This window comes from Homo sapiens, chromosome 2, assembly GCF_000001405.40.
Source record: "Homo sapiens chromosome 2, GRCh38.p14 Primary Assembly".
Classification (NCBI taxonomy): domain Eukaryota; kingdom Metazoa; phylum Chordata; class Mammalia; order Primates; family Hominidae; genus Homo; species Homo sapiens.
Window position 1 is genome coordinate 11,179,121 of NC_000002.12, and position 22,066 is coordinate 11,201,186.

The following is a 22,066-nucleotide window of genomic DNA, read 5'->3' on the forward strand; positions in this document are numbered from 1 at the left end:
AATGTTATATTTAGATAACATTAGTACTTTATCACTGCTTAAAGCAACTCCTTTAAGAGCATACTTAGGTGACAGGGTCTCTGTTTTTCCCCCTTTGTAAGGCAACAAACACTCGAGCCATCTCAGACATTCTACACACATCATACTTACTTAATCTGCCAGTGATCCTGTAAAGTAGACACAATCTATATCTCCATTTTACAGATGAAAACACGGAGGCTCAGAGTGAATAACCTGCCCAAGAGCACATAGCAAATAAGTGCCCTAGAAAAGGTTCCACTGATTGCCAGAGAAACACTTTCTAGAAAATCACCTATCAATCAATCAGCACACTATTTCCTGACAAAACAGACATCCTGCCTCTTTTCCCTATCCTTACCAATTCAAATGAGTTTGTTCTATTATTTGCGTGCGTCTTAAAACACCCAAATCAGATCAGAGACAGGCTCCTGGTTGAAATTTGGTATTTCTCCATGAATTAAATCATAGGGCAGAAGAAACACAAGTCTACAGCCTTAGTTCTAAGACTTATTTACTATCCTCATCCCACTGTTTATACCCATCTTATAGAGAAAGCAAATGTTTTGGGTAAACTTTAGAAGGTTGCCGTATTCCAGGACTATTTCACAGGAGAAGTATGAAAATGCTTATGTCTCCATTTATTTTATTTTATTTTTTTATAAAAAAGCAGGCATAAAATACAATTACATTACTACGAAGATGCAACAAAATTTTAAAAAAGAAAAAGGGGTGCAATTTTTTTCAGAGAGGACAGCTGATCAAATATTTATAATTTTCTAAACCATGCAGTTCATTACTTATTACAATTCCAAACAAAACTCATTATTATGGGGATGGGAGTCAGGGAGAGGCCCCCCCCCAAGCATGATATCCAGCGCTGTCACACAGTGCTTATGTTCAAAGTGCTTACAAATGGTGTCTTCACAGCATAGGGAAGCTGAAGCCTTATTCCAGGGAAGGAGAGGTGAGTCAGTAGCAGTGTCAATGCAGACTCAGAAGCTCGGCAGTGACTTGCTCAAATCAGATTTTAGACACGATTTAAAGCATGTTTCAGTAAGGTTAATATAGTGTCCGAGTTTCTCTACTTTACCACCAGAATCCTAGAAGAGAGTAACAGCAGCAGCATAACTTCTTAAAACTGTGGTGTGGCAACCTAGAGTATTTCTGTTTAAGATCTATATATAAATGGATGCAAAATAGATACTTTAGAGCCAGATTCATGTAACTCTAACACAGGTTAGTTTTAAAGGCACTAACCTTTACTTTGGCTTTACTGGTATGCTTATCCATTAGTTAGCTGGAACATTTTAAAACTTTCATATAGATTTTTAAAACTTGTTTCTAGAGAACATGGTTTTTTAAAATTAATACTTTAAAAACATTCACTGTACATTAATTTCAACAGTAATACCGGCACCAGTTTTCCTTTCACTTCTGTCTCGTTATCCCCACAAAACAAAAGTAAAAAATCCAATAAGAAAATCCCAGTATTCATGATTTCTTAGTTCCCCATAGGAGGTATTTATGGTTCTAGGAGAAATCAGGTGTGAAGGAACAAGCAAATTTTAGTCTTATATTTATCTTGGAAGCTTCAGGGCCTCAAGAAAAACGAGAAACGAGCACAAAATCAGGTTGTTTTATATTTAATAAGTGTTGGGAAGAAAACACATTGATAGGTGCATGCACTCATGTATGTACATGAAAGCGGCAATGCGGTAAAAAGCGAATTCTTACCCAAGGTCAGAATTTTTTATTAAGCGCATTTTCATTAGTTGGACAAACAACCTTATAAACCCTTATGTCAAACCATATAATGTGAAGAATCTCCATGGGAGAGATTTTTTTTTCACCCTTCAGAATTATCTTTTTCCCCTAAGACCTTCATATGAATCTTCCTTGTACAGTTGGTCACACCATGATTCCCCATATTCTCTAATATATACAGCATTCCAAATTTAAACTTTTGCCTTTTTTACTCAAATATTTCAGTTACTCATATGTAAACTTGAAATTATTTCACCTTAATAAAGTTTATTAAAAATATATATATATATATATATATATATATACTCTCCAATTCAGAATAGGATAGAACCTCCCATAATGTAACAAAATCTTTATATAAAATATTAATTCAGTCTCCTTTTAACAACTCTAATGAATGGAAATATTTATTCTATATAAATTTATATATTTTTCATTTTTTAATCTTACTTAAAAAAGAGCTATCCCCCAAAACCAGAGCTGCAGAACACACCTGCAAAGGAAACGGCATGCACGTCTAGTCTGAGCACAGACAGCACAGCAGAGTGCAGACTGGAGAACGTTAAGAATAACAAAACCAGTTTCAGTCTATCAGTAGGCCAGTAGCTACTCTTCAGTTTCCACAATAGTATCTATTATGGGGATCTAACTTTTTAAATATCTCTAACTGACATCAGAGGGAATCAATGAAAAATGTCTATTTCCTTCATCGAAATATTAGATGACTTTTTTTTTTTTTTTTTTTTGAGACGGAGTCTTGTTCAGCTGCCCAGGCTGGAGTGCAGTGGCTCGATCTTCGCTCACTGCAACCACCGTCTCCTGGGTTCAAGCGATTCTCCTGTCTCAGCCTCCCAAGTAGCTGGGATTACAGGCCACCACCATCATGCCCGGCTAATTTTTGTATATTGGTAGAGACGGAGTTTCACTATGTTGGGCAGGCTGGTCTTGAACTCCTCACCTCAGGTGATCCGCCCGTCTTGGCCTCCCAAAGTGCTAGGATTACAGGCGTAAGCCACCATGCCTGGCCAGATGATGTATTTAAATATCATACCAAACTCTGTGTATTTATATAAAGAGAGACTGTTAAAAGACTTCATAATATAAAAAAAAACAAAAACAAAAAAAAAACTTTACGCTTACCATTGCTGCATATTGTTGCAGTATAAAACACACACTTATCTGGGATCATGAGAATACGGCAAGAATGTCCTGCGTAAACTGTAACTTTGACAGCATTTAAAAAATAAAAATCAAATTAAGTGCCTTTGAGGCCACTTCTTCCCAGTTGCCAGTTTTCTTAACCCGGTACTAAAATACTGCCACACACAGCTGCATGTCTGAGGATCATATTTAAATATTTAAAATGCATCTACAGTCTGTCTTAGTTTTCTTTATATTTGGGAAAAATTTTGAATCTTAAGTGTGAAAATGTAATCACAAATGTCTTTACCAGGAATAAAAACACATCTAGGGTAGCCAGCAAATTTAAAGCAAATAAAATATTTTGTAGTCACAGACTAATACTGAGGTCTGTAAAAAGAGTTGAATGAATAATAGACAGACATCAAGGATATATTAGTTCCAACACCATCCATTATTGTTTCTATAACCAATAATACTTTAAAAACATTTGTTAATCAAAATAGGCTGACATTGATATAACTATTTATGTGTAAAAATAGTGCACGATTTATCTTCCACAAAGCTAGTTTACATCCTAAGAGCTGGTAAACGCTTTTTTTGTTTTTTAATACAGACAGGGCTGAGACTTTGAAAAAAATTAAATTAAGGCATTCAAAATGGGTAAAGTTGCCTATCATGAAGCATTAGGAAACTGATATAATTAACTTTAAACTTCTTGTTACAGTAACTGCTTAAACATGAACATGCAACTTCCATCAGGTACACAGGAATGAGTGATATAAACTCCAACATTATGGCTTTATACAAGTGCATAGTTGCAACTGCAGCAAGTAATGATATCTGATTAATGTGTATAAAAAATAAAGTGGGAAGTTTAAAAAACCTTCTTGCAGTATTAGAGTACTATATATATATATATATATGTGTGTGTGTTTATATATATATACACAGTATAATGGTCACTTCTTAAAGATGCAGTCAATATCACTGTAGTGGAATCCATTCCCAGATTCTTCTGGTAAATGTGCTGGTGAAACCTCTCTGTTGAAGCTAGAAAAGATGTTTTCTTTAGCCTTTAACTCTTCTCAATCCTTGTGTGCATTGTAGTGTGAGCGACTGCCGAGAGAGCTTTATGGAAAAGTCTGGAAGAGTTGCATATATCCTTAGTCTATCAACCAATCATTGTTGGTTCAACCTGTTGCTTCAAAGGAGCCCAGATTTGTAATTTATATTACAGGGAAAAGGGGAACACATATATGTATGAGTGTATGTATCAGTCTCTCAGGAAAATATAGCTTTTTAATAAATTTTGGGCCATCATATTTCAGTCTTGTTTTCACTGGAAGAATACGATCACCTTGAATAATGACTGCTTTCATAGAAGGCAGTTAGCTGAAAAGAAAGGAAAAATAAAGTTAGTTGATACAGTGAAATAATTTAAGAGTGTTAAATTCCTAGAAAAAGCATTCCATTCACATTATTAAACTATATAGTCTTCCAGCTACTATATTTTTTAACACTAAAATCATGCATAAACATACTTACTGTATTACTTTTCCTATAGGTACAACATGCAATTATATTCTTTCCCAAAACAACTTGGGATTTTGGAATATTAGCTACACACATTACACACACATTTTAATATGGTTAACAAGCTATTAGGGTTAAACAATATACCACAGAATAACTTAGAAGATAAAAGTTTGATTTGGGGTTTAACTGCCAGCTGCCTCATGTAGCTGAAAGGGAAATGGGCCTATTGATCAGGTTCTACTTGGCTGTTCAACCCTAAGCCACATTTTGTTTTTCTATAAGATAGGACCAACTACATTGTTGTAGTAAATATATACAAGCTACTCTATGAAATCTGATTATAAATAGATACCAGTACTACCTGATTTATGTTTTGCAACTTGCTTACTTAGACTAAAACACACATTATTTCTTTTAAATCCTTCTATGTAAAAGGTTTAACTTGAGGCTCAACTTTCATTCAAATCTCCTTTAGCCACTATTAACCAAACTATTTTACATTTTCTAAAAGCACAATTCTCACAGCGTATCACTGACATTCTTCAGCAAGGGTAACATTAAATTCTCACAAAGCAAACATTTCACAGCACCACACACAAAAATGCCAAATCAGAAATAGCTATTTCACAGCACTTATTAGACTTATAAAGTTTTTATGCTTTCAATTCTTGCAAGTTGGAAATAAAAGGAGAGAGATGGAGAAAGGAATCTCATGCTATGTTCACAAACTAATATAGCTGTAGGAACTTGAAAACGTTGTAAATTTTACTTCTCTTCTGAATATGGCTTCTTTGGAATGAACAGAACGTATCAGAATTAACTCCTTTTGTGATTTCTACATCTCATTCCTAAGATAAATTCTAACTGTACTAAAAATTTATAGCCAATAAAGAATCTGAACATAGCATTTCACTTTTACACTTAACATGTAAATTTCAGTTAGCAACTTTTCGAAAACTACTTTTAACTATATACTATTAAAAACAAGTTTCAAAAATAAAAAATAATGAAAGCCCAAGTGGCAAACCACATGCACTACGTTGAAGTACTAAAATAACTGATTTTTCATTTTTTGATTTACCCCATTTATTTCTTCAGAAATCAAAAACATCGTCATCATCATCACCACCACCATCAACATCATCAAATGACCAATCCCAGTCTTTAAATGCCAAATCAAGCAATCTGCAATAGGAGGTTTGTAAATTTATACTCTAACACTCTTTAGAAACTGTAACTTAATGTTATGACTTAGAAATCATACTTTGAATGTGCTTGTAAGCATTTTAATTTTCCCTTCATGGATAACAACAAGATTAAAATTAAGACGGACGCACATAGGGAAGCCTTGCCCTTTATATATAAATGCATATAATCATGTTGGCCAAGTACACTTTCCAGATATTTGAAGACAGCGATCATATTTGGGATAATAAGAAACAATCTGCTTCTCCCTCCTCACTCCCATACCCCAGATAAACACATAACCATCCTGATGCCCAGTTTGATTTGAGAATTATGAAAGCACATTTGTCAATGTTCCCCTTCACCAAAGTGGTCAGATTGTCAGCTCAGTTTTTCCATCATAGCACCAAAAACCATGGGGTAAAAAGGGAGTAATAGAATAAGAAAGCAGCTTTCTGAATTCCAGTAGGACCCTGCCTGCTCAATGTGTCACCAAGAGCTTTGTCCTGCATATGAAAAACTAGGGACAAGGGAAAAGCCACAGGTACATAAGTAGCATTAGCAAGTCATCTTGGCTAAATTGGACTTAGAGTTGGGATATATGTGGTCTTTTCTTTCTAATTCAATAACCTAAACTGTAATATTGCTATCATCTTTGTTTTTAAAAATAGCCACCTGGCCAGATGCGGTGGCTCACGTCTGTAATCCCAGCACTTTGGGAGGCTGAGGCGGGCAGATCACCTGAGGTGAGGAGTTCAAGACCAGCCTGGCCAACATGGTGAAACCATGTCTCTACTAAAAATACAAAAATTAGCTGGGCATGGTGGCAGGTGCCTGTAATCACAGCTACTCAGGAGGCTGAGGCAGGAGAGTCACTTGAATCCAGGAGGCGGAAGTTGTAGTGAGCCGAGATCGTGCCATTGCACTCCAGCCTGGGGAACAAGAGTGAGACTTCGTCTCAAAAAATTAATAAATAAATAAAAATAAAAATAAATAAATAATAAAAAAAAGCAGTAACTTTTTCATTTTTAAAACTGTGGTGTTCATGAATCAACTTGTGCCAAGGAACTCATCTGGTCCCCAAAGTCTCACCTGTAATCACTATTGTCAGTGGTTCTTATTTACACACTTCTAAAGTAAGAAACTTTAGTGTATATGATTTACCTACTGCTCTTTATAAGGCCTCATTCCAAGAGATTTAGATATGACTGAAAAGGGCCCAAATATTTGCATTTTCAAATAAAAAACCTGAGGCGATTTCTGATACAGCTGGTTAACTTTGAGAAACACTGACAGAATAGGTTAATGGATGATTACTCTAATTTAAAATAAACACAGCGACTCAAATTACTCTTTTAAAATGTGCTAAACACAGCACAACATTTGAGAAAACACACAAACAGATATAATTACTCACTGAACACATATCGCAACCTGGCACACACTCACTTCTCTAGACTTATATATAATGTAACTTATAGCCATAGTTTCAGCTCTACTGCTTGGGAGATTGTGATCAGCAGGCCTTCCAGGGCATCCAAGCCTCAGCTTTAGCATAGGTTAGGAGAAAGCTGCATTGCATACCCTTTCAAAACCTTTGAAGTGTGTGCCAGTGTCACAATCTCAAATTTAAGTCTAATCGCTAGATGCGACTGTAGTGTATGACGAGACTTCCCTTACAACCCTCTCCCTCATCCCTTCGAATCAGTCATCTAATTCTAGTTATTTCAACTGAAGAAATCTTTCCAAATCCAGGTTTATTTTCTTCGTTTTCATTGTCAAGTACTCAGTTCAGGATCTCATTAAGCCTGAATACCAATCCCTTACTGAAAGACTTCTACTTATAAATCAAAACTCCTGAGCACAGTGTACATGGAGCTTTTCAGTTGGGTTCAGACTTTCTCTCTAGTGTCACATCATCTTTTACCACTCCCTACCCTTGCCTTCTCCCAACGCCAAGCCAACACAAAATTACAAATACATAAGTAATTCTGATGACTTTGTACCTCTGCACATGACATTTTGCTTGGAACTGATTTTCCCTTATTTGTCTGCTTGTAAAATTATCCATCCTCCATTGTTTGAGATCTTTCTTAATGTCCTCAGGCAGAATTCTCCATGCTTCCCTCGTTTCCCCAAGCGCTCTGTTCATCCCTATATTATAAACAGCATTTTACATAGTACTGTAATTGCCTGTTGCTTGACTGTCTCCACCATTAACAGGGATATAGTTCAGGCCTGCGAAACTTATTGTCAAAGATGCTTTGGAAAGAGTGCATTTAATTTGGAGTTCTACCAGCAGTCCACAAAAGTACCCATTTCGTTTCTTAACCCGTGCCAGTTTGGCAGGTGAAAAATGGTTTTATGTTATAGTTTTAATTTAATGCTAATTTCTTAATACAGTAGTCCCCCCATATCCTTGTCTTCACTTTCCATGGTTTCAAGTTACCAGTGGTGAACCACAGTCTGAAAACATTAAATAGAAAAGCTCAAAACAACTTAGAAGTTTTAAACTGCCCAACGTTGTAAACAGCGTGATGACATCTTGTGCCATCCCACTCTGTCCTGCCTGGGATGTGAGTCATCCCTTTGTCCAGCATATCCATGCTTGTTAGTCACTTACTAATGGTCTTCATTATCAGATTTTAAAAAATTGTATGTGTACGGTCCAGTACTATTCGTGATTCCAGGCATCCACTGGGGGTCTTGGACTACATATCCCTTGAGATAAAGGGGGACTACTGTAATCAGGCTGATCACTTTTTTTTACATTTAACAGCTATTTCCATAATAATGCCTGCATGCGCCTCATTAATTTTGTATGGGGATGAGGCAATCTTTTTTCTCAATGATTTATAAGAACTTTTCGTATGTGAAGATACTAACTCATCTTTCTCATATATTTTGGAAATACATGGTGTTTTTTAAATTTACAAGGCTTTACTTTTGGGGTAGTTGATCTTTGGCTTTGTTTTCTTTGCTTTTATTATTTGGAAGTTCTTCCCCAATTCAAGATCAGGTATATATTCACCTATGGATTTATTTTTGACACTTCAAATTGTATATAACTTCATTATTTTCCCAAGTAGACTGTTAATTCTTTAACATTTAGAAATGAGGAAGAGCAAAGATAAGATAATAATGACACAATAGCTACTTCCTCCTTTAAGTTTTAACTGTGCTGCCATGTTTTACACTTCTTAAAACTCGGTAAGTGAGCATTTGTTACATTTTTGCTTTATACTTTTCTGCATGCATTAAATACTGCGTTAAAAAAAATCTTTAAAAGAAAAATAATTAAAGAGAAATACCCTCTAGCCAAACTGGTATATAATTTTTTTTTTTTTTTTTTTTTTTGTGTGACGGAGTCTCGCTCTGTTGCCTAGGTTGGAGTGCAGTGGTGCGATCTCGGCTTACTGCAACCTCCACCTCCTGGGTTCAAGCAATTCTCTGCCTCAGCCTCCCCAGTAGCTGGGATTACAGGCGCCTGACACCACGCCTGGCTAATTTTTGTATTTTTAGTAGAGATGGGGTTTCACCATCTTGGCCAGGCTTGTCTTGAACTCCTGACCTCAGGTGATCCACCTGCCTTGGCCTCCCAAAGTGCTGGGATTACAGGTGTGAGCCACCGCGCCCAGCCCAGACTGGTATATTTTTATCTTGCATTGAAACAAATTAGGACTCCCCAAATTGTCTTCATCAAAAATTAGCATTTTATTCACAAATTTCCTACTTTTCCAGTATGGCATTTTAATTTTAATTCAAAAGTACCAAGAAAACATTCCTGTAGAATAGCATTTCTATACATTATTTTTATGAACTGTCAATTAATTTCTAGTCTTATTTTATTTTTATTTTTTTATTTTTATTTTTTGAGACGGAGTCTCACTGTCGCCCAGGCTGGAGTGCAGTGGCGTGATCTCGGCTCACTACAAGCTCCGCCTCCCGGGTTCACGCCATTCTCCTGCCTCAGCCTCCCGAGTAGCTGGGACTACAAGTGCCTGCCACCACGCCCAGCTAATTTTTTGTATTTTTTAGTAGAGATGGGGTTTCACTGTGTTAGCCAGGATGGTCTCGATCTCCTGACCACGTGATCCACCTGCCTCGGCCTCCCAAAGTGCTAATTTTGTAGGGTGCATGTCTGTAATCCCAACTACCCAGAAGGCTGAGGCAGGAGAATTGCTTGAACCTGGAAGGTGGAGGGTTAGGGTGAACCGAGATCACGCCACTACACTCCAGCCTGGGTGACAGAGTGAGACGTCATGTCACAAAAAAAAAGAAAAAAGAAGAGAAAAAGATGTAATGATGTAATGGCAGATGACCACAAAGAAAGACACAGAGGAAAAGTTACCAAAAATGGTTAAGTGAACATTTATGGGTTCACTTTATATTTGATGTATCTAACAAAGCCAAACTTTGTTTTAAGAAGGATACCATGTCAAATTAGTTCAACTAAAGCTAGATTGACTAATGCTAAGACTAATATTAAACAAACTCAAATGAACAGCTAGATGTTAGATCACTGCTGAGACACACCAGCAATTCTGTGCCTCTGTTTTCTTGGATGACCCTTTACCATTTCCACCCATTTGTATACTGAATGGGCTTTAGTCCAGTAGAATGTTAAAAACCATCCAGCCTGAGGCTTGATTCCTCCCTGGAACCATGCTACTCAATGAGATTTACAATTTGCCTCTCTGATTGGTTCTTCTTCTAATACATCTTCCAAGGAAAAGGTCTTTAACTGTTTAGTGCTATTTATGATCTCTCACACTTTCAAATAATGTCTTTAGAGAACAAAATATCCTCAGTTCCTTCGCTTGCTACATAATACTTTCAAATGACATACTGCAACCTCTGTTATTCTCATCTATATACCATTCAATTTGTATAAGTGACTCTTAAAATGTGACATTCAAAATGGAATACTGGCCAGGCGTGGTGGCTCATGCCTGTAATCCTAGCACTTTGGGAGGCCGAGGTGGGAGGATTGCTTAAGGCCAGGCATTTGAGACCAGCCTGGGCAACATAGGGAGACCCCCATCTCTACAGAAAATAAAAACAAAAAAAAATTAGCCAGGTGTCATGGTGCATGTATGTGGTCCCACCTACTCTGGGAGGCTGAGGTGGGAGAATAATCAGTTGGGCCTGGGAGGTCAAGGCTGCAGTGAGTCATGATCGTGCCATTGCACTCCAGCCTGGGCAACAGAGTGAGACCCTGTCTCAATAATAATAATAATAATAATAAAATGCAGGTTGATTGATTCATGTAAGAGATACAGACACAATGCTAGGAGTACATGAAACAATGGAGACTCAAATGCCAAAAACAATGGAAATAATGTTGCAGATGTACAACAAAATCCAAATTATATTATAAATGTGACCACCTTTATGTTTAGAATTTCAAAGAATGTATTAAATGAATTTTTTCACAAAATATACACTACACATTTTACAGTCAATTTTGATATTAGTTTTATTTACATGCAGATATGAGGGAAAGAAATCCTTACTACTTACCGTTGCTATGACAAAATGTGTTTTTTAAAAAAATCAATGAAGAATGATTCACAGGGCAAGGCCAGAAGTTTTTTAAAAAAAAAAAAAAAAGTAACAAAAATCAAAAGTAAATGTACTCTCAAATAGACCATAATGCTGATTTGGACTGGGAAAGGAAGGTATTTGTAAGTCAGTGTACATAAAAACAGCCTGTTACATAACTGGGAGCGTGCCTCATAAACTAATTCCATATATGTTATCGTATGTAGTGAAATCATTAATGTGTCAAATAGCACAAAAGAAAAAAATGTATCAAAAGGATATTTGGAGTTATTATAGTTCTAGATCTAGACAAACCCCTTCTGGAGTCTTAATCAAAAACAAATATAACAATACCTATTCTATTCCATAGGACTATTTTAAAGAGCAAATGAGATAATATATAAGAAGTTAAATGAGAGAAAAGAATACACAGAGAAGTACTTTGGAAACTGAAATCACTACACACTATAAGGTATTAAAATACCATTTAAGCATTAATAGTTCTACAATATTAATAATAGAAATTTAATTTTCAGATGTTTTACAGAAGGCACTTGAAATGGCCTTCAGTGTCTCTGAATTCTGAGTTTCTTTAGCTTTAGTCAATAATCATTAATTTTGTTTAGTTTTATCATACCTCACACAAAATATTCAACATTTTCACTGCTGAAACACCAATTCTGCCTTTGTCATTCTAAATTATTTCCTTGAGAGATTAGTTTCAGAAAGTTTCATCTAAGATGTTTGTGATTAGAATTTCTGACAATACAGCCAATGCTATCAATATTCATATACTGAAGGTCCTGTGTTAGGGAACCAAAAGGATACCTGAAATCAGATACCTGATCAAAGGATATGCTTTTTCCTTTAGCTAACCAAATTCTTGTGTTCATTTCATGTTCAATGGATAGCAATGTTTATAAATGCTGAAGTAGTTAGTAAGCCAAGAAATGGCTATTGTGAATCACGATATTTAACTAAAGGACTTTCACATAGCTATCCGAAAATGGCTCCATCAAAATGTTTTTGTGCATAATGATCATCCCTGACCTTACTCCATTTTCCTAACTCTACCTCAATTCCAAGGAATAACCACTTTACCCATTAGCTAATATTTGCATTTTTAAAGCTGGTCTATGTTGCTGTTAAAATCACACTCAAGTTACTGTTTTAAATTTATAGATTTGATTTAAAACTTAAGCTGATTTTAAACCTGCCTCCCAAGTCACCCAACATAATAAAAGCTTATAATATGAAACACAGTGTGTGCACTTGACAATGTGAGGTCTGTGTACAATGTTAATTCTATCTTTTAAGTTATTAAATTACTCAAGTGCTTATAAAAGCTGAAAATTATATTATTATACAGTAAGTCCTCACTGGACATCATCGACAGGTTCTTGGAAAGTATGACTTTAAGCTAAATGAAGTATAACAAAACCATTTTCTTCTCATCAAGGTTATAACAGAACAATTTTGAAGGAAACAACTTAATTCCAGGACCAGCCATTATTTTGCTTAAAGTTGTAAGTTCTAAGAACCTATGGACAATGTTAAGTGAGGATTTATTGTACAAATAAACATAACAAAAATCTTTAAAGATTTTTGGTTGAATTTACTGTATGTGTGTGATTTAGTAAGTAAGTTTATATTACTTTCATCTGAATCGATGAACATGACATGCACATTAAGACAGTTCCAACATTTGGTATTCCATAGTTAACTAAAATACAAAGCAAAGGAAAACTAATTAGGAAAATTTGTAGTTTGAACATAAATAGCAAAATATTTTAATAGACTTTTTTTTTTTCCTTACCACATTTTAGTTTATTACCTAGGTTTGTTTGGGGCAAGCTGTCGACTTGGCCGTCTAATAGACTGGTTTTGCTGTATCTTCATTGAAGTTCTAGGAGATGATCGGGCAAAAGGGTCTGGAGCTGGGGGCTTTTTAGGTATCTTTTTCACCAACCGACTAACCCACTTCTGCTGCTCTTCTGTAGAATTTGCTAGTAATAACAGATTCTTTGCCGTTGAAATATCATAATATACTATAAAGAAAAATTAGAAAAAAAAATTAATGTGCTTAAAATGATCTGAACATAACCAATATCGATGGAGCAAGTAATTTATCATTTACCTTTGCAAGGTGCTATAATCTCCTCCTTTTTGTCCATATGATCTTTATGACACTTAATATGGCAACGGCGGCACTCCAAAGCAGGAGGAGGCTTAAACATGTGCCACAGGGGCTTCATACAAGCCTCACAGTTGGTTGGGAAATGATAAAGAGTAGGAATAAACTCATGTCCCTTGTGGCAAATATAATTAGATTTTTCTCCAACTGGCTCCACTGGAAATTCTTGTTCCTTCTTACTTTCTCCTTCATTGGCATACAGAATCTATGAATGCCAAAAGAACAATAAGTGATTTCCAAACATGCTATTTTTTTATGTAGGAACAATTCTGATAGTGTAAGTAAAATAAAATTAGCCTAAATTATTCAAAGAGAAGAAAATGTATCTGAAGTACAAACTTAAGCTCTTGATTACGCAAACTTAATCAAGAGCTTATATAAGAAAAGTCATCAGACAGTCACTTTGGTTTGCATTTCAAAAGAACTGATCCTGTTCAAATGCTGCCTCCTTATTTTCTTTATAACACCCATGCTTTAGCAGCACTATCAGAATAGGTCAGCAAAAGGTAACTTCATAGGTGTTAGGAAGTTTTTCTGGGAGAGACTGTTCAAAATAATCACTTGAAGAAATGTGGCAATCACACTAATTGGTGTTTTGTAATACTTAACAGAAAACTGGGTAACAGCTATGAGCACAGCTTCATTTTAAAAGTCCTATATTTTGAGAGTTGAGAGAGAAAAGAAAGAGGAAAGGATGTGTATTAAACTCCAAATAAACATGACAAGCATCCAGAAAACAAGGAGCCAACTTCCACACAGTACACCAAGCACAACGACTCTTACATAGAAGGAAATCAGTAAGTCATTGTTGGTTTGACTAATTTTAAAATGGAAGTAGTAAAGGGAAGAATGTGGCTTCACTTTAAATCGGAGGTAAAAGGGCTACAAGGTACAAAATTTACCTCCATAACTGACTTTTCTAACTTTCTAGAGAGCTGAGATTAAACAAAAACAGAAAGGGAAAAATTCATGTTTAAAAAAAAGTCATAACCAACCTTAAACAAAAATATAGCAAAGACCAGAAACATGATACAAACACACCGCAAGCTTTAACAAATAAAATGGAGAAAGGAATGAAAACGTTCCCAAACAGAATTAAGCACAAAAGTCACAAAGCAACAAACCATCTTTAAATAGGACTGAAACATAAAGGTAACCTGAAGAGGGTCAAAGAATGAAGAGATTTAACATGTCATGTCACTTGAGAACTTCTAAATGTGAAAAAAACAAAACAAAGCCAACCAACCAAATATAAACAAAACTATGTTTACCTGGAATATCCTTGGAATTTCTTTAGCATCTGCTCTATACACATCTGTCTGTGTAACTGGTCGGACATGAAATAACTTGCTATAAAAAATTTTGAATAAAGGAATAAAATATCACCCAAGGATCAAATTATATATTAATTATTCTATACTTACATCAGACGTTAAACACTGACTACTTTGACCCATGTTAGGAACTCAGAATATTTTGTTCTATTAATTCTATAATTAATTAAGATTTTTAGAAACCTCTATGTCAGAAATTTTCTAATTAGTTTCAAAAAATAATGTATCAAAGGCCCATGAAATAAAGATGTTTTAACTAACCCTGTATCCCAGACTTTCATCTGTATGAAGCAAATCACAGGAAAATGTAACAATATTACAGTAGGAGCTATACTATGAGACTAATAAATTGCATTGTTAGTCTCTTATACTTTAAAAGATATAGTTTCTAAATATTCTAACAAAAACACTTACTCTATATCTAAAACCATGTAAGGATTGGATTGTTCTTTATCTTGTTCACTGTCATAGAAAAGAATCTTCTTACTGCTTACAATCACATACTGTTAAAACAGGGAGAAAAGAAATCAGTAATTCAAGTTTTTATATACCTTATTTATTGATTTTTTTGAAAATAAATTCTATATTAGCAATAAAAATCATAAAATACTAAGTAACTAAAAAGTATTTAATATATCTTTAGGACAGTCTTCCTTAAAATAACAATAAATTTTGTTTATATTAATAGATATTTTAAATAAGCAAACTGTGGGGAGAAGTAAAGTCAAATTTTTTTGGACTTAGCTTTGGGATCCAACATCATTAGTAACCTTCTCAAAAATAAACATAATAACATCAATAATCATAGTAACAGAGGAAAATAAATAAGTGGGTCTTTTTTACTATATTCACAGTTCTTTTCCCAACAAAACAGCAAAAGTATCAAAATCAACAATTTCCTAACAATAAAATCTGTCTTATTATTAACAAGGTATGAGGACAAAAATTTTTTACAAAGATAAATAAAATCATATCATTTCAAATCCTGAAGTATAAACAAGTTCTATGTGTCTAAAGGTACCAGTCATGTATATCCTACAACTACAAAAGCCAAATGACTAGAGTTAAAACAAAAACAAAAACAAAAGGCTCATATTCCAAAGTATCAATTACCTTTTTAACCCATCCAAATTTCTTAGTGTTGTTTCGTACAGGCAATGAAAGCCATCCTTCTAATCTTGATTCTACAAATAAGCACAACATGTGAGGCTAAAGATAACAATTCTCCTTAGATAACAAAGAACTTAATAAAATTTTAATATGAAATTTATAAAACAAATAAAATATATCCTTTAGAATTTATCACTATACATCATCTAGGATACAGTAATAGTACAGGATCAGTAGTAAAAAGTTATGCAATGCAAAACAAAATCCAGGTTATATCATATTGGAAACAGATAGTCTATACTTTTATAAAGTCAAATGTTCCATTGATTAAATTCATGCATTTATAAAATTCAGGAGAAAAGTTGCCAAAAAAAAAAAAAAGGCAGCAGCAGCAACTCTCTATTCTCACTGGTACACCTGCCTTAGACTCCTTTATTTTTCCTTTGGAAGAGGGCCACATTGTGCACATTTTCAAGGAGTAAATATTTTAAATAATTACGTGTTCAGAGAAAATGGACTTTTAGAATAACTATAATAAAATAAAATAATGTAAATTTTGTTTTATTTTATTTCTTTTTTTTGAGATGGAGTCTTGCTCTGTCGCCCAGGCTGGAATGTAGTGGCGTAATCTTGGCTCACTGCAGGCTGTGCATCCTGGGTTCCAGTGATTCTCCTAACTTGGCTTCCCAGGTAGCTGGGATTACAGGCACGCGCCAGCACGCCCAGCTATTTCTTGTATTTTTAGTAGCGATGGGGTTTCACCATGTTGGCCAGGCTAGTCTCGAACTCCTGACCTCAGGTGATCTGTCTGCCTCAGCCTCTCAAAGTGCTAGGATTATAGGCATGAGCCACCACACCTGACCAATTACGTACATTTTAGATAAAATTTGGTTAATAAGCAGCAAAATAATCAAAAGATTTCTAAATTCCAAAATATCAAAATCAGTAACATTGTAATTCAACTAAGGAATGTGTATGAATCCTCGGAATTTGTTTTAATGACATTTGATCAATGTCTTTTAATGAAATAAATATGTGAAATAGCATTTGGGGAAGTTATTCTAATAGTAAAAGTAGCTATCACTTATTTAACTTCTATTATGTATCAATCGTGCTGGATGCTTTACACAAATTCTCTTTAATCCTAAAAAAACCGCACAGAACAGGAATTATTTTCCTAATTTAGATGAGGAAACTGCAGTCTTGAAAGATCACACAGGGCTGCCTCTGACTCTGAATGACGGAACTCTCTGCTGTTTTCATTTAAACTGTAATCTCTTTCAGGGTAACGATCGGGCCAAATTCTTTCATGTTTCTTATGAAGGACATATGCCTAGGATAATGTCAGTAAGTACTCAGTAAAAACCTTAAGCATATCCTTTGAATCAGTCGAAGTACTTTTTCTGTACCACCACTCTTGTTATGAAACTTCAGGAAGAATTTCTTCTTGGTTGAAAATGGCTAAAACAAGCAGTGAAACCATGCGCTCTTAAGCAATATAATGTATTACTCCATTTCTCGCAAGTTGGCATCTATCAATTATAACAGCAATGCCATGAGAAAATACCTTAAAAACAAATTCTTTATTCATGCAGCAGTTTATTTTTAACTGAGTCTACAACAACATATTAGAGTTAGTGGTTATTAGTTAATGTTACATAAAAAATCTTCAAAAGGACTAAAATTAAGGGTAGTGGGAAAAACTCCAAAGATGAGAAGATTTTCAGGATATCACCTGTACCATTAGGTTCCGATGAAATGGGTAAGTAAGGCAAAGATTCTTCTTCTGAGTCAGAATCAGAGTCAAGGAGCGTGTGAGAACTGGAAGGCTTAGTGGCAATATTGAGAGAAGTAGAGGAACGCTGGTAGGTGAATGACATGGATTCCATAGTGTGTGACTGAGTGATATGAACTAAACACCCAACATAAAAGGAAGTAAGAATGCAGAAAGAAGAGAAAATGAAACGAAAGCTTAAAAATAGAGCTAATATAATAATTTAAAAACTAGACATGTGGAGTTTTTCTTTTGTATGTTTATGAAAAACTTTGTAAAAAAAATCAATAAATAAAATAAGTTTGAAATGTTACTTGAATCCTTACTCCAAGGAGTAGGTTTTCCCTTAAAGAAATTACAAACATTTTTCCTTCAGAGCAGTCAGTCGCAAGACTTAAAACAATCAACTGATTTATATTTAAGATAAATATTAGTGCTGAAAACAAATCCATACCTGGAAACCCATCATCTGCCTCAGCATCCCCTGGTCCACTGCCTATACTGGAACTATCCAGACCAATATGCAAGGCTTGGAGTTGTGACCGCAGCTGCTCAATGTCACTGTCTTTACTGTCCAATGTCATCTGCAGTTCAATTCGAATCTGGCTCTCTTCAGCTATTTGCTATAAGAAATTTAATTACAATAAGTTAATTGGATGCAACATAACTCAACATTTTGCTTCTTGGTTCAATAATAATTATTAAATAGAAATGGTCTATAACCAGTAAAACACAGACATGAAAATAATTCTACTTCTTAAAAAGAAGTCTTCAGTCTAGAGTCCAAAAAGTATTCTTACTGCCTGCATTTCATTCAGTTCTTTCTGATACTTGATCATCTGCTGGGTCAATTTCTCACGTTCAGATTTAAGCTCCATATGTAGCTTTCTATTCTCCTTCTCTTTTCTCCGCACATCTGTGTCATTACCACGCTTGACAGGTTCTTTTCGATTCATGATCTCAGCCAACTTATTCACAGCCTTAAAAAATGTAAAAATAAATATAATACATAAATAAAATAAATTACGTTTATGGTTTCTCAGTATCTCATCAAGAGCAACAAGTTATACAATCACAAATACTCTCCTTCCCTACATACAGGGCTACAAAGAAACACTTTCTATAATATTTAAATAATACACCTCCTTTACTACTCATCATCCTTCTCCATCCAATGAGCCATTAGATTTTTACTCGTGTTTTCTGAGAATTATAATTTAAATATTTATAGAATTGATCTGATGTTGCTTTCTACCATTTTGACTTTTTAGTTCTAGAGAGACTTTAATAGGCAGACCTTTCTTCTTTTATTCTGGAGGAAGAACATTTTGCAGTGACATCAAATTAATAAAATATTCTATGTGCAACAACAGTGAAGAGTATCTAGTACCCCACCTGTTCATGCAGTACATATGCAACTGTAGGAGTTGGCAGAGAGTGAACTAACTGACACTTTTCAGGTTGTCAGCAAATGGTCAATCCCAACAGTTCTTAAAAGTAGAAAAACACATTAAATTACAACAATAAATTGAAAGAGAATGTGATTCCAAAAGGAAATATTAAGAAAAATTTTAGTTGCTATAGAATTTAACAATATTAATCAAATCTAACTTCTCTCAACCTGGCAAAAATCAGGTAATTGTGACTTCACAAATATTGGTACATTCGATGACTACTGCTACCAATTTGTAATGCTAGAAGTAAAATGTAAAAGAGATAAACTGAGACAAAATTCAAAATCATATTTAGATTCTATTATACATACTTGAGTTTTGAGTGTTCTTTCTGTTAATAGCTGCTTCTCAAACTGTGCTTTAATAGCTGCTGCGCTTATTTCTTCATCTTTCAATCTTGACAGTTCTGAAACATGGAAAAAAGTTAAAATTACATTGGTAATTACAGCAGCTGATAAACATTAGGTATATTAAAAATAAACATTTTTTGTTAATACATACGCTCTTGAACATCTTTCAATTTGTTATTTAATTCTTCTTTCTCATTTGCAAGATTGGCAACATCACTAGTTAGTGTCCTATTAGTTTCCTCAAGCTAAGAAATGAAAGAGGAAAAAATAATCACATCCCAATTTACACAATTTATGTTATAAAATGATTCAAATGAGAAACATCCTAGAATATTGTTAAACCTCTTATTTTTCTTTTTTTTTTTTTTTTGAGACAGAGTCTTGCTCTGTCACCCAGGTGAGTCTTGCTCTGTCAACCAGGAGTGCAGTGGCGCAATCTCAGCTCACTGCAACCTCCGCCTCCTGGGTTCAAGTGATTCTCCTGCCTCAGCCTCCTTAGTAGCTGGGATTACAGGCATGCGCCACCACACCTGGCTAATTTTTATAGTTTTAGTAGAGATGGGGTTTCACTATGTTGGTCAGGCTGGTCTCAAACTCCTGGCCTCGAGTGATCGCCCGCCTAGGCCTCTCAAAGTGCTGGGATTACTTACAGGCATAAGCCAACACACCTGGCCTGAAGGAAGTTTTACTGTAAATTACGTGTTTTGCCTTTCCACCCATGACTGTATTTCATTATATACACATGAAACAATACACAGTGTGGCTTTATGTGATTTTCTTTTTTTTTTTTCTCTCTTTTTGGAGACAAGGTCTCAAGCTCTGTTGCCCAGGCTGGAGTGCAATGGCGTGCGATCACCACTCACTGTAGCCTCAGCCTCCAAGGCTCTAAGGATCCTCCCACCTCAGCCCCCATGAGTAGCTAGCTGGGACTATAGGCATGAACCACCACACCTGGATAAAAAAAATTTTTTTTTTTTTTTGGTAGAAACAGGGTCTCACTATGTTGCCTAGGCTGGTCTCAAACTCCTGGAGCTCAAGCAATACTCCCACCTTCAACTCCAAAAGTGCTGCAATTACAGGCATGAGCCACCATGCCAGGCTGCGATTTTCTATCTTACTGAATTTATCTTTCTGTAATTGTTTTCACTCAATAGCATATTAAGGCATTAAATTGCTGATACAAATGAAGATCTGATGTAATAGTTCCATCTTCTATTACATTTAATGCATGCATTCATTCATTCATGGACATTTGAGTTTTTGCTAAATATTTATGCTGCTATAAGCATTGTGCCTAAATTTCTATAGTGTATTTATCTTAATGTGGACTTTCTTCTGACTGCATTATGTGAATGCCTAAAATTTACTGGAAACTGTCATACTACTTACTGTACTATGCCATACTAAATTTATACTACCCATAGTGAATAAGAATGCCATTTTCTAGACATTCTTCAGACACTTGAAATTGTCAGCTACTGAATTTCTGCCAAAGTGATGGGTATGAAATGGTATTTCAAAGTTGTTTTACCTAGGCTTTTCCTGAACAATAGTGAGGTTAAGTACATGCTTATATATTTAGGTTTTCTCTTTCAGCTAAGTTTTCTTCCAAATTCTTTAATCTTATCTTACTGAATTGCAGACATTCTACATATACTCTAGATACAAATCCCTTGTTTAATAAATATATTACAAATATCTCCCTTCTGTCATTTGTTTATGCTGTCTTCTGTCATATGCAACTTTTAGATTCTGTTCTGATAGCTTAAAATTTTTATTTTTCATAGTCCTTAAGATAGCTAGAATTTACTTTTGTGTGTGATGTAGTGGGGATTTAATTTTATTCCTTTCCATATAAAAACACAGTTATTCTGAAACCATTTATGAAATGTGTCCTTTCCCAGTGATTTGTGTACTGCCACTCCCATCATATATACCAAGTTCCTGTATGTGCAGAAATCTTTCTGGCCTCCCTTTTCATTTCCACTGAACAGGATTGAATATCCCTGTTCTAATACCAGACTTTTTAATTACCGCAGCATTTCAATAGGTCTAGTTAATTGATAGGGTAAACCTAACTACTTGATATTTGACCTCTCTCTGAAATTTTTATTGCAATTTTTTCAACCTGCACGGAACTGTTTTCCTGGTAGTTTCAAGATTCTTCTGAACTAAGTTCTGTTTAAAAAGAAAAAAAAAAATGACCCTTTCACTTTAGACCTTTAACTTTGAATTCATTAACAGGTGAAGTCACTTTTAGTAAGCTCCTCTGACAACATTGAGAAGGTGGCAGTTAACTAGATTAAAAATCTTGTAGTCAGCATATATAATTTTTCATTTAGATCTGTGATACTTAGTATGTCTAAAGAAGGTTTAAGATATAGCAATTTAACTATAATCCAAAAAAGCACCAAGAATTTGACTTACAGAAGCAATTGTAGCATCTTTTTCCGTAAGTTCCTGTTTGTGTCTAGCCATCATCTCTTTGATCTCCAGCTCTTTCATGATCTTCTCTTTTTCCAAATCAGAATATTGTTCTTCAGCAATTGAACGAGCCAGTTGCTCAGAATCTGCTTTGGTCAAGGTGATCTCCAGTTGGGCAGCCAAAGAGTCCCTACATTTTAGCAATATATCATTTTAATGGTTCAGTTTTCACT

The 22,066-nt window shown here is 34.9% G+C and overlaps 1 protein-coding gene across 6 annotated transcripts in view; it reads right to left on the reverse strand.

Annotated features, from left to right (window-relative positions):
* ROCK2 (Rho associated coiled-coil containing protein kinase 2) overlaps positions 639–22,066 on the reverse strand; it is a 165,679-nt gene continuing 144,251 nt past the window's right edge. For 3 of the 6 annotated variants that reach the window (XM_011510417.3, XM_005246190.4, XM_017005379.3), the window contains exons 23-34: positions 21,837–22,023; positions 19,561–19,654; positions 19,371–19,465; positions 18,406–18,585; positions 18,060–18,228; positions 15,835–15,905; positions 15,136–15,224; positions 14,659–14,737; positions 13,331–13,592; positions 13,028–13,241; positions 5,546–5,649; positions 639–4,320 (exon numbers count right to left, since the gene is read on the reverse strand). In XM_011510417.3, coding sequence (XP_011508719.1) covers positions 5,559–5,649; positions 13,028–13,241; positions 13,331–13,592; positions 14,659–14,737; positions 15,136–15,224; positions 15,835–15,905; positions 18,060–18,228; positions 18,406–18,585; positions 19,371–19,465; positions 19,561–19,654; positions 21,837–22,023 — 1,531 coding nt within the window. In that variant the 3' untranslated portion in view covers positions 639–4,320; positions 5,546–5,558. Of the gene's footprint in view, positions 4,321–5,545; positions 5,650–6,664; positions 7,804–13,027; positions 13,242–13,330; positions 13,593–14,658; positions 14,738–15,135; positions 15,225–15,834; positions 15,906–18,059; positions 18,229–18,405; positions 18,586–19,370; positions 19,466–19,560; positions 19,655–21,836; positions 22,024–22,066 lie in introns of those variants that run through there. The other 3 variants (NM_001321643.2, NM_004850.5, XM_017005378.3) reach the window with 2 other exon arrangements.